At 39.5% G+C, this 13,437-nt stretch overlaps 1 protein-coding gene and 1 long non-coding RNA gene across 24 annotated transcripts in view; one reads left to right on the top strand and one right to left on the bottom strand.

Moving 5' to 3' along the window:
- SLC8A1-AS1 (SLC8A1 antisense RNA 1) overlaps positions 1-13,437 on the bottom strand; it is a 337,576-nt gene that overhangs the window by 126,002 nt on the left and 198,137 nt on the right. The gene's annotated exons all lie outside the window — the stretch shown is intronic.
- Positions 1-13,437, top strand: part of SLC8A1 (solute carrier family 8 member A1) — a 415,166-nt gene that overhangs the window by 383,228 nt on the left and 18,501 nt on the right. The window lies entirely within an intron of this gene.

Here is a 13,437-nt window from a genome sequence, read left to right as displayed (position 1 = left end):
TGGTGGGTTGTTTTTATTTTAATGCTGTCTCAGTCTGCATCTTTTAACAGCTTTATGGTGGTATCACTTACATACCATAAAATGCATCCATTTGTAGTACATACAATTTCATGATTTTTAGTAAATTCACTGAGTCTTGCTACCATTACCCTAATCCAGTTTTAGAACATTTCATCACCCCAGTAAGATGCCTCACGGCCATTTACAGATAATCCTCATCTCCACCCTCTGCCCCAGGCAACCACTGATGTACTTTCTGACTCAATAGGTTTGACTTTTCTCTATTTTTCACAAGGACTAATTCTAATATAAAAATGTCATGGATTCTCTACATGATAGTGTCAGAATTTACCATGGATTCTGTAAGATTTTGAAATTATTTTGTTTTATTCATCACAGAATCTCTCTCTATATATTTGTAAATTACATGAGATATTTTTTGTTCTTCATTGTTTTGTGTATATATGGATTTGTCCACCTTTTTAAAACAATTCCACTACCCTGCCCCCAACAGTAATCTTGGTTCATACACTGCAAATTGCTGGGGGTGGGGATCACACAATGGCGCTTAGAATTAGCACTGTGACTCTTAGGGCAGTACCTGATGTTTAATGATAGACAAATGCCAAATGTCGGTGACCAGTTCAGTCAGTTGATCACAACACAGTGCTAAGGAGGCAACTCTCACAAATGGAGCTTCTTACTCTCATTCATGGCCCCAGCACGTCATACTGTAGGTGCTGACTGCTGGCTCCTAAATCAATTCAAATCCATTACAACCATTAGGAAGAGAGTACAGAGACCAAGGCCTATTGGTAAGAGGCTCTGTGCATGATCTCCCTGCACAAAGAATGACACATTGTTGCTAAATGCAAGAGAAGAAAATAGGGGCTATAAGAAAGCAAAACTTCATTGCCATGTCTGGTCCCTGCATGAGAAACAAATGAATTTAAGCCCACTGGTATTTTTAGAAAAGAGAACAAATAAAATGCTAACTCAATTTAAAAGGCAAAGCTTACATGTGGCCATAAAAAATTTTAATATCTGTTTGGGGTAGTGCATATTATAGATATGAAATCATGGTGCTTGGCATTTATGCACAGCGCCAGCTGGAATCCCATCACTGCTCCTCGGCACACAGACCTCACATCCTGCCTTTTCTCAGGAATGAAACATAAGCTGTGTATTACTTGTTTATACTCTGATTCATTCCAGAAAAGGATTTCAATCCATCAGATGCTTTGCATTGTTCACCCATCTTTTCTAGCACATGATCTAAAAACACTAACTCCGTTAGTGCCCGTATTTTATAACCTTTGTTCAGCTCAGCATCTATAAATCCTGTATTTTGTACTCAAGGAGAAAACAGCTTATTTTGGTTGTATTAGTTACATTCAAGAAATTATGTGTTGTATTTGTTTTCTCTCCCTCGATTGCTCCCCACCCCATCCTGCCTCTCTGGAGCCCAGGGGACTTTTTGGCATAGTCCTCCATAAATTATAAGCTATTATTAGGTCATCATTGTAAAAAATCCTGGGTCAAGATAACAAGAAAGGCTTGCTGTAGCTCCAGACTAAAATGACCCCCACTGGGGTCCACAGATAGGCCCACCAGAGGATTAATCATAGCCTGTGATTCCTGAGTTATAGTCGCAAAAAAGCAGGTAACCACAACTATGCCAAGTGATCATGAAAATGTCCTTCTGTGAAGGATTCTGTGTATGATGAGCCTTCAGATGGGTGAAATATGGCAAATCAGAACCCCAAAACTAACCCAGTTATCACATTAGAAGACTGCAGTTCTGGTTGCTCAAGGGGAACCAGCACTTGGTTTGAGGCTGCGCTGGAAGTGGTTGGACGTGCTTCCTGCCGTTTAGTCTGTGCTTTGGGGAGAAATGGGGTAAACCACATAGAAGAACCTGACAATAACTTTCTGCTATGTCAAGTATTCTTATCCTGAGAGTAAAGATTAAGCTCTCTCATCTATAGCTTCTATAACTGAACTGAGTCTACAGTGGAATACTAATGACAAGAAATATTCACAATGAAACACTGTATTTTGACAATGCCAATAGCTAACTAGGAAGCCCAAACTGAGTCTCTGAAGCAATGTGGCATTCTTGATCCTCAAATTTTCAAGTGGTTTTTCCTCCACACCATTCATAAAGTCATTAAAAAAGAGATAAATACCATTTAAAAAATTAAAACAAAGGAAGCAATATGACCCAGTGGCAAAGCATAGGCTTTCAAGCCATTCTGCATTTCTTTTCGTTCATTCTCAGATACTTAAGGAGCCCCCACTATGTACTGGCCAGTGTTGGGCATGGCGGAGGTGGGGGATAAACAAGACAGATGATATGTCTACTCCCGTGGAGTAAGACTGGTACTTATAAACAGATGATAAACTTTCAGGTAGCACAGAGGATGAACACTGCTGAGAAGAAAATTAAACGAGATCATGGAGCCATAGAATGGAGAGTGTTTATGTGGGGGAGGGGGTATTTTAATAGGAAACTTTGACTTTGTACACTACTAATCTCTAACAAATCACACTTCAAACCTCTAATCTGTGTCCTCCCCCACCCCACCCCTAGATTTACTCAGGCAGGTCTAGTCCCAGAAACTGAAAAGTTATTTTCTTTCCACTTCAAATAATGGCTTTGAATTATTTTTCCTTCTCACTCCAGCACTTGATACTCTCATATGAGCTCCCCTACCACCTCTGTTCTCAGCAGATGGTATCCCACTGCCCTGGATTCTTCTCCCACAGACCCTCCATTCTAAATATTCTGGATTAGTTAGGACTTTGGAATATCCAACAAATGATCACAGTAAGATCCCAGTGGTTAATGATGGTTTCAGGAAGATAGACCCCTTGCATTTAACACACACACATAAAAAATGCTTTCATAGTAACTACATTTATATAGCTTCATCATTTTAAAAGTATGTTTTTATAATTCATCTCTTTGATACCCACAGCAGCCCTGAGAGTTAGTCAGCGTAGATGTGTTATCATGTTCAGAGCATGGAGTTGTTATCTGGCAAACTGATGAAGGATCCTGGAAATGTACTGGCAGCATGAGGACCTGAACACCAGAAATTACAGGATGTGGATTCTAATCCCACCTCGTGCCCTCACATTCATCTGACCCCTAAGGAGCTTCCGTTTCCTCACCCTGACAAAATGAAACTAAGGGTAACTGCTCCCACCCATCTTCCTCCTCAGAATTGTCAGGCACAGCAGATAGTATAACATTCATGGACGTGCTCTGAAAATTACAAGAATCTATAAAAATAAGAGATATTTAACAAAAGCTGTTTGTTAAGTATCCACAAGAAACTGTCCTACGTCCCTGGGAGAGAGAAAAAGGAGAACATTTTGAGAGATCAGGCTCATGGCATATTCTTAGCAGCTTAGGTAGAGCTCTATGCCTTTTTTTCTTTTCTTTTCTTTTTTTCATTATAAGTTACGTATCTAGTAAGAGCCCAAGAAAGATGGGCATTACAATCCCTTCCCAAACATCTCAAGGACATGAATCTCTTAACAAGCCTGTAAAAAGTATTTGTCAGGTTAAGTGAATATGCAAAGCAATTTTGTGGGTTGAAGTCACTAAAACATACTGTTAGTAAATAAAATAGAAGGTATTTGTAGCACAAAATATAAAATTAAGAGAGAAGATTTTGGTGCTGCTCTGCAGTTCTTCAATGCTTAACACGAGTAGGTGGGGGAAAATGAAGACACAAACACATCTTCCCTTCACAGCTGGTCCTGGGCAAACTTTCATAGTGGGTGAAGTTGCTTTTTACGATTCTTGTTCCATATTGTGGACTGTCCTAGGCACCCTCGGGACACTGGATCCCAGGCCAGATCCTGATGTCAAGGCTATCTCCTCTTCTTCTATTCCACTCCTTCCTCCTCCCCGCTACACCCTTCGAGATGCACCTGCTCTGTGTGTAGTATATAGGATGCTTTTCATCCAAGGATTTGTCTAACATAATTATGAATGCTGAATTAACCAAAAGGACCAGGAAAAAGCTGAAATTCAGCCGTTCACTCCTTCCCAGAGAGACTCTATTTAAATGTCTATTTTTAACCTATATTTATTAGTTTTTAGTAGCACAAGCAATAAACAATACATGCTCTTTGTAAATAGAAAATGTTAATAAGCAAGCAACAAAAAGAAATCCTGCCATCTCACCACCATCTACATTCAGCCATTTGCACCTTTAAAATTGTGAAATCCTGGGACATTTAAGTAAATTGCACAAAAAATGTGTATACAGATATATAGCAAATATTTACCCATACTTTTTTATGGACTAATAGTAGGCATAGTTACATAACCTGCTTTCTCACAAAGCAGTGTGTCATGAATGTTTTTCTTAGTGTACTTTAACAGTTGCACAGTATCATGTTATATGAAGTTGCAATTTATTTTTTCTAAAATGATAGACAATTGTTTCTAATTTTTCTCTAACATAGAAACTCTGCTCCAATCCCTGATATAAATTTGTGTGTTTGTAAAATTGCCTCTAGAGCCTCAGAAGTAGAGAATTGCTGGGCCAAATAGTTAGTAGACTTTTCAGGCTTTTGATAGGCACATATGCTTTTTTGTATCCTATGACTAATCTGTAGGAATGAGTTAATGGAGGAAATTTTACACCAAATCACAGCAAGGTGGAAGGCAAAATAGGTGAATTATTGGAAACTTTCAGAACCCATTCAAGTCTCACGTGTCCTCAAGTGTCACCTGCTGCCTCCTGTGCTGGATTGAGGTTGCATGCAGTGGCCTACTTTTAATAGTGTTCATATTTTTGTGAACTGATAATACACAAAGCAGCCCCTTCAAAAAAGTGTCTCTGGAGTGAGTAACTAACTAGGTAGATATCCATTGGGGAAAGGCACATTTTGGGCATCTTCGGTGTATTGTCTAGATCCATACACTTAGAATCACACCAGTATAATCCAGCTGACAACGAAGTTTCCTTATAACCCATTAAGGCTACCTGCAGGTGAGAATGAAGGTTTCTGTTTTCTTTTTATTTCTCTTCAAGTTAGAGTACAGTTTCTCTATCTGATCCTTCTCAGCTAGCTCTAGCAAGACAGGCGAACCTATGTCTTTACTATCTCTAAAATAGGAGAGAAGAGAATTTGAGGAGATTTGGATAGGAGATGGATGTTCCAGAAATAGAACAAAGCATAGAAGAAAGAACTAGGCTTCAAATGCAAAGAGGATTAACTGAAAGAGGGAGATTATTGGGAAGGGAGGAGAAGCGAGTCAGAGGACACCGATCTGTGCAGGGCAGCCCTAGATTGTGTTTAAGCAGGAAGTTAGTTTCAGTTATATCTATATAATAACAAACCATCTGGCTTGGGAAAATGACAATTAATTCAGCTATTTGTTTTTAGCTTCAAATTTGCCCTTGCTTTTTTCCTTTTCAAAATTAGCCAAATGTTGCTTAACTAAATCTTATGATTCTTTTTGCCCTCACGGACTTTGCATTATTAAAATAAGAGTTATTATGAAAGTAACAGAATCATGGCTTAAAACTGAAAATATCAAAAACTTGATGCTATTTTAAAAGCAAGTTCATTCCAGCCCATTTTAAAGTACTATAAAGACAGCCCAAATGTAATGCCAGGAGAAGCCAAGAATTTAAGGAATCAAAAAAAAATTGTTCATCATTTGGAAGCCAAATGAGGATTCTTTTTACATGAACCAGTGAAGTGAGTGTGTGTATGTGAGTGGCAGAGTGTAATTTTCCTTATCAGAGAATTATCTCCATTAATGGTATTAAAGAATAAGGAGTCTTTCATGAAAATAGCTCCTTCTTAATCTGTTTCTTATCCATGTTTGCTAAAGGAGTCAGCCTGATGTTTCTATATGGAATAATTGTATTTATTTTCTTTCAAACGATCAGCTGCTTTACCATTGTGTAGTCACAGTCGGAGTTGAACATGATGAAGCTTCTTGATATTTTCCTTGGACACTCTGTCCGTTGTCAAATGTATCAGTTATCTAGACCTTGTCAGCACCCCTTGGATTCTCTCTTGGACACCTGTGAACATCACACTGAAAAATAATCCTATTCTAGGTGTGTGTAGTGGAGTCTTATCATTTCCTTTTGAGAACATGACTCCAATTACAGTTTGGAAAGCAGATCAAATAGTGCTGCGCTGCTGGTTTGTATCCTTTCACTTCACTGTTTTGTGTTCCCTGAAAAATAAACCTCCATTTTTTTCTCTCCTTTAATTAGAATAAATTTCTTTCTTTGAACTTAAAATACAGCAGGATATCAGATACAAAGTAGGAAAACTAAGCCCGGGGCACCTCCATAAAGTGCAAACATTCAAGTTAACATGCAAAAATGAAAAATAGCTAATTTTTCAATAACAAAAATGGTTACTCTAAAAACAAATCTATGTGTCACTCATTCCATACATCATTACCTCAGTTAATCTAAGGGAGGCATCATTGTCCTCCTTACAGGGACAAAGAAACCAGGGCTGTGAGTGGTCAGTTAGTGGAGCTCAATCTGCTTGGGGAAGCTTTGATAAATACCAATGCTCCAGCCACATCTCAGGCCGATTAAGCAGAAACTCAAGGTGGGGCTAGCAAGTTCATGTTTTCAAAAGTTGTCCTGCTGACTCTCATTTGTAGCTGGGGACAAAAGTGACTAGAAGCAGGTGCCCTGATCCTGCCAATATAGGTCCTCTTGAACTTTTTACTTATCGCTGCTTCCTTCTCTTCTAAAAGTAGGTCATGTCACTGTCTCCATTTCTTCTTTACCCTCTTCAGGGACAACTTTTATGGGCAGAAATTTTCAGTGTGTTTCCTTTTTTCAACTCCTCATCTACCTGGTTATTAATCAGTCAAACATCAGCAATTCTGTTACCTCTTGAACTTCACTTGGAAGCCAAATGATGATTCTTTTCACATGAACCAGTGAAGTGTGTGTGTGTGTGTGCGCGCGCACACGTGTGTGTGTGTGTGTGTGCGCGCGCGCATGCACTTGTGAGAGAGAAAGAGAGGTTTTCTATTTACTTGGGTAAATAAATATCGCAACCAAAGACAAATGCTTGTTTAAGGTCTTCAGTGACAGCAGAAGAACAAGTACATAAGTAAACACTATTTCTCTTTTAATTCTAAAAGAGCAAGACAGATGAGGGTATAGAAGGCAAAAAAGAAAAAAGAGAGGAATATATACACTGTTTAAGTAAAGATATCTACCTTACAGCCATTAGTAAGATTTGGGCTCTAAACCAAAAGAGCTCTAATGTCTTTTAATGACTTTGGTTGTATGAAATTTTCAAAGTAAAATAATTAAGAATTTTAAGCTCTATCACACTTTTAAATGCAAAGGATTGTCAAATTAATAATTTTTAAAGGGTGTTATAACTCCTTAAAAGTATAGAATCATTGGCAATAGTCAGAATTCCCTACCATGTATGGATTCTCTGGGGATCTGGCTCTGTTGTATTATAAAAATAGCTAATAATACTGAACACCCATTAAGTGCCAGGCCCTATTCTATTCATGTTAACTCATTTCCTTCAAAACCCTATGAAGTAGGTAAGCTTCCAACCTGGCAAACAGAGCAGCACAATTCAATCAATTTAGGTAATTCCCCCTCATTTGGCCTTTTAGGGTAGCTGGAATAGGGTTTAAAAAAATAGGAGAATAACCATATTGTGAGTGGAAGAAGCTACAATTAAGCAGCCCCCAGCATCTCCGTGACGCCTACCCACATTTTATCAGCAAAATAACCACTATAGCTAAGGGCATCCATGTTTCTAAGAGAAACCAGCTTCTTACTTCTTTCCGATTAGCTGCTTCCCTGAAACTCAAACATCTATTACTCGCAGGAAGGCCCCCAAAACTGTGGGCACTTCGAGTAGTATCTCCCCTTCCCATGTCTTACAACTGTGGTTCTCAAGCCTTGGTATAAATAAGAACAACCTAGGCCGCTTGTTAAAAGGTGTATTTCTGTATCCCGTCCTCAGAGAGTCTGATTAAGTGGATCTAGCAGGGATGCCCAAGAGAGAGAATACAGTCATGGCTTCTTAGTTTCTGTTTCTGTCTGGGCCAGTAAAGCCCCTTCGACATCCCTCCTGTCTGCTTATCACTAGAGACAGAAACTAAAAACCATGGCTTCAGGCTGTCAAAAGCCTAAAACAAAATAAAACAGAACAACAACAACAAAATAAGGCAGGCTGGACAAGCTTGGGGGTGAAGCCCCAAACCTACATTTTTTAAGCAAAGCTCTCCAGGTACTTCTAACACTATTAACACTAGACACAGCCTTTGAAACATGGTCATCTGTCTGCCACCTTGGCTTCACTCGTATCAATGAATGGCCAGTCAGAGTGATTTGAAGTTGATAATTTTGCCAACATTTCTTACCTAATTTTAAAAGGTAAATGACTGTGCCATGTAGTTTAATTCCATAAATATTGTCACAGTTTGATCAAAGGTAGTATCTTCAGGTCTTGAGATTTTCCTAGGATTTTCAAATATTTAAGTCATTTCTTCTTCACAATGATAAAATAGTTATAATCATCAGTTAATTATTGTGAAGAGTGGTTATGTACAAACTCCTATCAAAAAAACCAGCAAAATCAAACATTGCATATAAATTTAGTATTTTAATGTATTCTGTGCACCACCCAAACAGTAAAGTTAGAAAGAGTCTTAGAGATACTCTAATTAAATGAGGAAACTGCAATCTAAAAAAGTGAAGTGACTTGCCGAGAGCATACAGACAGTTGGAAGAGCCGAGAGTCTCTTTGATGAGGCTTCTTCCACTACTACACCATGAAGATCTGTACACCTTGGCTGCCTCTTTCATTGTCAGTGAACGAATACGTCAAGGTCTGGTTGCTGGGAGAAGCAAGCAGACCTTCATAGCCAGGATGGACTCCAATTAAAACCACTGCCAGTGTCAGTTCCTGGGCATGAAGCATTGGAGAGCTGAACAGCTGGTCCCCAAAGAACACTAAGAGCCAAGAATAAGATGAACCATCTGGGGCGAAACCCTTGCTCCAGATAATACATTATCCCTGCATCCATCCTGCAAGACTGTGAGAATGACCTTTTTTTGCAGAAGAGATGTTTAAGGCTTAGCCTATAAGTAGCAATAAAGTTTGAGAAATTTAGGTAAAGAATAATTGCTGAAGGAAAGGGAGAGTATTGGCCTATTTTTGCATGTTGACCAGATGACTTGGGCAAGGTAATATACCATGAACTTGAGGCAGGTCTGCAAAGAACAATTACGTCCTGACTTTGTGATGTGTAGTTTAATTCCAGCCATGCTGTCTCCTCAACAGTCTTCCTTCTTATTGATTTATAGTCATATGTATCAAGGAGCCAGGACTAAAAGTCTAAAACTGTATGACTGATCTAAAATTAATTAGAATTCAAGGTGGGAGTTAATAGCAAAAACTATTAAAAACCTAGCCAGGGACATAGATGAAGGAAAAAATACATGTGTTATTATCAACATATTTTGTGTCAATCGCATTGGAAATCTGATCCATATATAAAAGTTTTTATCTAATGGGCCAACCTCTGAATATTATTATATCCCCTTCAAACCCAAGGCAGTAGTTATTTCTTGGATTTTATTTTAGGATATGGCATTTGCCTGGTTTAACCATAGGCAGGTTACAGGCTTAGTGTTCAAAGTAGGGCTTGGCAGCACCTAACATATGGTATGTGATGTATTGCCCTATGTGCTGAGCAGCAAAGCGGCAATAAAAGGTAATTTGGGGAGAATCCATCGCACTTCATTTGGAAAACAGAGTTCTCTCTGTTGGAGCTAAGGTTAGTGGTTTGGATTTGCGTGTGTTCCTGCAATTTTTTTTTTTTTTACATTGCTTTTGAATTGAAAATAAAAACAGACAAAAGGCCTGATGTCTAACCCAAGTAAATAAAACCTATGAGACACAAAGTAGCCAAAAACATGTTTTACTTATGTGACAAGCTAGTCACTTTGGCTATTAACTCTTAGGAAATTCAAAGAAAGACATTTGAAAATAGGAACCTATTATTATTACAAGTAAGAATCCTTATGCAACATTCACATTAATAGGCTACTGATACATGGCTTGAGGGAGAGGAAATCACTGCATACCCAGGTGTGCCCTCCATGTCAGCCTAAAGGACTGGTTTGGGTGCTTTGAGTCCCCAGACCCAGGAGTCTTTGATTTTAAACTTCCTTTCCTTCTGGTGCGGCAGCAAAGGTGCCATCTAGAAAGCCCAGAGTTTCTGAGTACACATGGGATACCCAGGAAGTCCAGTGTGCAATGTATCAGGTGCCAGGGGAGGTAAGCAGGTGTGTTCTATGGAACAGCACCAGGTCACCTGTCCCTGTAGCATACAGAGGGAATTACCACCCCCGCAACTGCCCCACCTAACGTGGCCATCTGTTCACCACCAGCCAGTGCTACCAGCCATTTCAGCTTAGAATAACATCTCAGGTGTTTCTCAGCTGTACCTGAGCTGGAAGCTGCTTTCTCCTGCCTCAGACTTTTGTTCCTTTACTTTCCATGTTCCACTGCCTGACCTTAAAAAAAAAAAAAAAAAAAAAAAAAAAAACTTCCTTTTTTTTCTTTTTGAGGCTGCTGCCCTGTTTCTATTAACTTTTAATAATGAAGTACAAGAAACCATTAAGATTTGTCTCGCTTTGCTTTTACTCACCAGTCTCTGTGATAGTTGATTGGGCTGTGTGAATGTGTGATCATGAATGCACAAAGCAGCACAAATCCAGGAGTCTGGATTCACAAACTGCCCATACCTTCTTCAATCTTTGTTCTCCTGATACAGTAAAGAGCATTTGGTAAGAACCTGCTTCAAAGTTTCTGAGTGAAAGGAACAGGGCCACCTGAAATGAACTAAGAGGAAAGACAAACTTCAGGCTTCCTGGAAGGGGCAATGTGGTGTGGACTGAGACTGGGCTCTGAAATCAGACTTTGGTTTAAAAATTCACATTTGCTAAGACCCTATCCAAGAGGCATAATATCACAACGTCACAGTTTCTCATATCATGAAAGAGGAGTAATGACATCTAGCCCATAATGCTTGTGAGAGGGGTGAATGAGAATACACACGTTGCCTGTGTAGCATAGTGCCTAGCATGGAATAAGCAGTGTTTGTCTACTTCTTTAATTATGAAATAATAATCAGATCTGCTTTTCATCACAGGCAGAGGGCAGAATTGATGATAGGCCTTCAGAATTGACCAACTCCCTTTCAGGAAGAATGTCATACTGCAGATGCAGTAGCCTTTTAGTAGCCTAAAAAGCCTTCTTATCCATTGTAAAGCAGGAGAATCCATGGGCTGATCTATATTTACATGCTGTACATATCTTCCCCACTGGAAGTTTACGGAGGAAGGATGGTGGCAATAGCATAACAACAGAGGGGAGAGACTAGTACAGGTATCGTACAACTACATACATGCTCAGAGCATGCCCAGGACCTCAGGAGGACCAGAGCAGATAACACAACACCTTGCAGTCATTTAATGCTTGCTGTTACTGGCTTTGGAAATAAGTTCAATTTGACAGTTATTAATATCTGCTATAATCCTACTGTGCAAGGTAGCTGAAAGGACTTTATTTGATTTTTTTTTTTTTTTTGAGATGGAGTCTCACTCTGTTGCCCAGGCTGGAGTGCAGTGGCATGGTCACGGGTCATTGCAACCTCCACCTCCCGGGTTCAAGCAATTCTCATGCTTCAGCCTCCCAAGTAGCTGGGATTACAGGTGTGTACCACCACGCCTGGCTTTTTTTTTTTTTTTTTTTTTTTTTTGTATTTTTAGTATATAGACAGGGTTTCACCATGTTGGCCAAACTGGTCTCGAACTCCTAACCTCAAGTGATCCGCCCATCTCGGCCTCCCAAAGTACTGGGATTATAGGCATGAGCTACCGTGCCCAGCCAGGACTTTGATGTAAGTAGGCATAATGTGGACAAGAAATTTAGTATCTTGCAAGTTCTGTTCACATGCTTAATACAGGAAGCTATTTCAGATCCTACCTCAACTTTTAAACCGATCTAGCCTGCTCGGTTTATATTGTGTTTCCAAAACAACAAAAACAGCCTCTCCTACTACTTTGTGCCAAAAAGCATCAAAAGCATTTTATTTACATGTAGTATTTCACCTTACCAACAGCACTCTGAAGTGAGCAGTACCATCCCCATTTAACAGATTAGGAAATTGAGGCCCAGAGAAGTTAAGTAATCTTCCAGAGTCACACAGTCAGCTGCGAAGGCAGGATTTGAAGTCCCCCAGCTCAAATGTGCTCTAAACCCCTGTGTTCTACCCATCAAGAAGTTTAAGTCACTGTTGTTCAACCTTCTGTAGTGGACCAAGATTTTCCTATCATCACAAAAAGATACAGTCAGGATTATGAGTAAATAAAGGGCTTTGAAAATGATCATTGGTGCCCACAGCACAGTGAAAGGTAGAAAAGCACCATGAGAAAGCATTCGTTTTGAAGACATGAGGCAGGAGCTGTAGCCCTAACATGTTTTTTTCCTAGTTGTGATATTGCATCCACTACTTGTCATCTCTAAGCCTCGTTCCCTCACCTCATAACCATCATTCTCAGTAAACTATCGCAAGAACAAAAAACCAAACACCGCATATTCTCACTCATAGGTGGGAATTGAACAGTGAGATCACATGGACACAGGAAGGGGAACATCACACTCTGGGGACTGCTGTGGGGTGGGGGTTGGGGGAGGGATAGCACTGGGAGATATACCTAATGCTAGATGACGAGTTAGTGGGTGCAGCACACCAGCATGGCACATGTATACATATGTAACTAACCTGCACAATGTGCACATGTACCCTAAAACTTAAAGTATAATAATAAAAAATAATAATAAAAAAGTACCATCACAATCAATGCAGTAATATAGCTGAATCTGCTTTTTTATTCTTAAGGCTCTAAGCAAATGTCAGCTACTCTATTATAGTTCAATTGTTTTCAATTCCACTATTGGCTTGCTCTTGAATCTTGAAAAATCTCTCCCGACATCTTAACTTTCTCATCTATAAACTAGAGCTGCTGATACAGCATCTTTTAGTAATACCCTCCAGCAGCTGTTCCGAAACTTTAGTGACCTAGAATCTTTTAGGATACTGTTAAAATAGATTCCTGGGCCGCTGTCATTATGACCAGCACAGCCGCATGGCACCTTGCAATACTCACTCTTTGAAAGGACCCCACTTGATTCTGATGTAGGTGAGCTGTGACTACTTTCTGAAAAAATGCTGCCCTGCAAGGTCAATATTACAAAGAACTGCAGTATCTGTGGATACAAAACTTGACCAAGATCACTTGCTCAGTCCATTACACAGCCAGCACTGAACCCTTAACTCCCAATATCTAGATCCTGTTCTTTTCACCCCATGAGTCTGAC

The sequence above is a fragment of the Homo sapiens genome, chromosome 2 (genome assembly GCF_000001405.40).
Source record: "Homo sapiens chromosome 2, GRCh38.p14 Primary Assembly".
Classification (NCBI taxonomy): domain Eukaryota; kingdom Metazoa; phylum Chordata; class Mammalia; order Primates; family Hominidae; genus Homo; species Homo sapiens.
The sequence above is the reverse complement of the archived record's forward strand: the minus strand, read 5'-3'. Positions and strand labels throughout refer to the sequence as shown.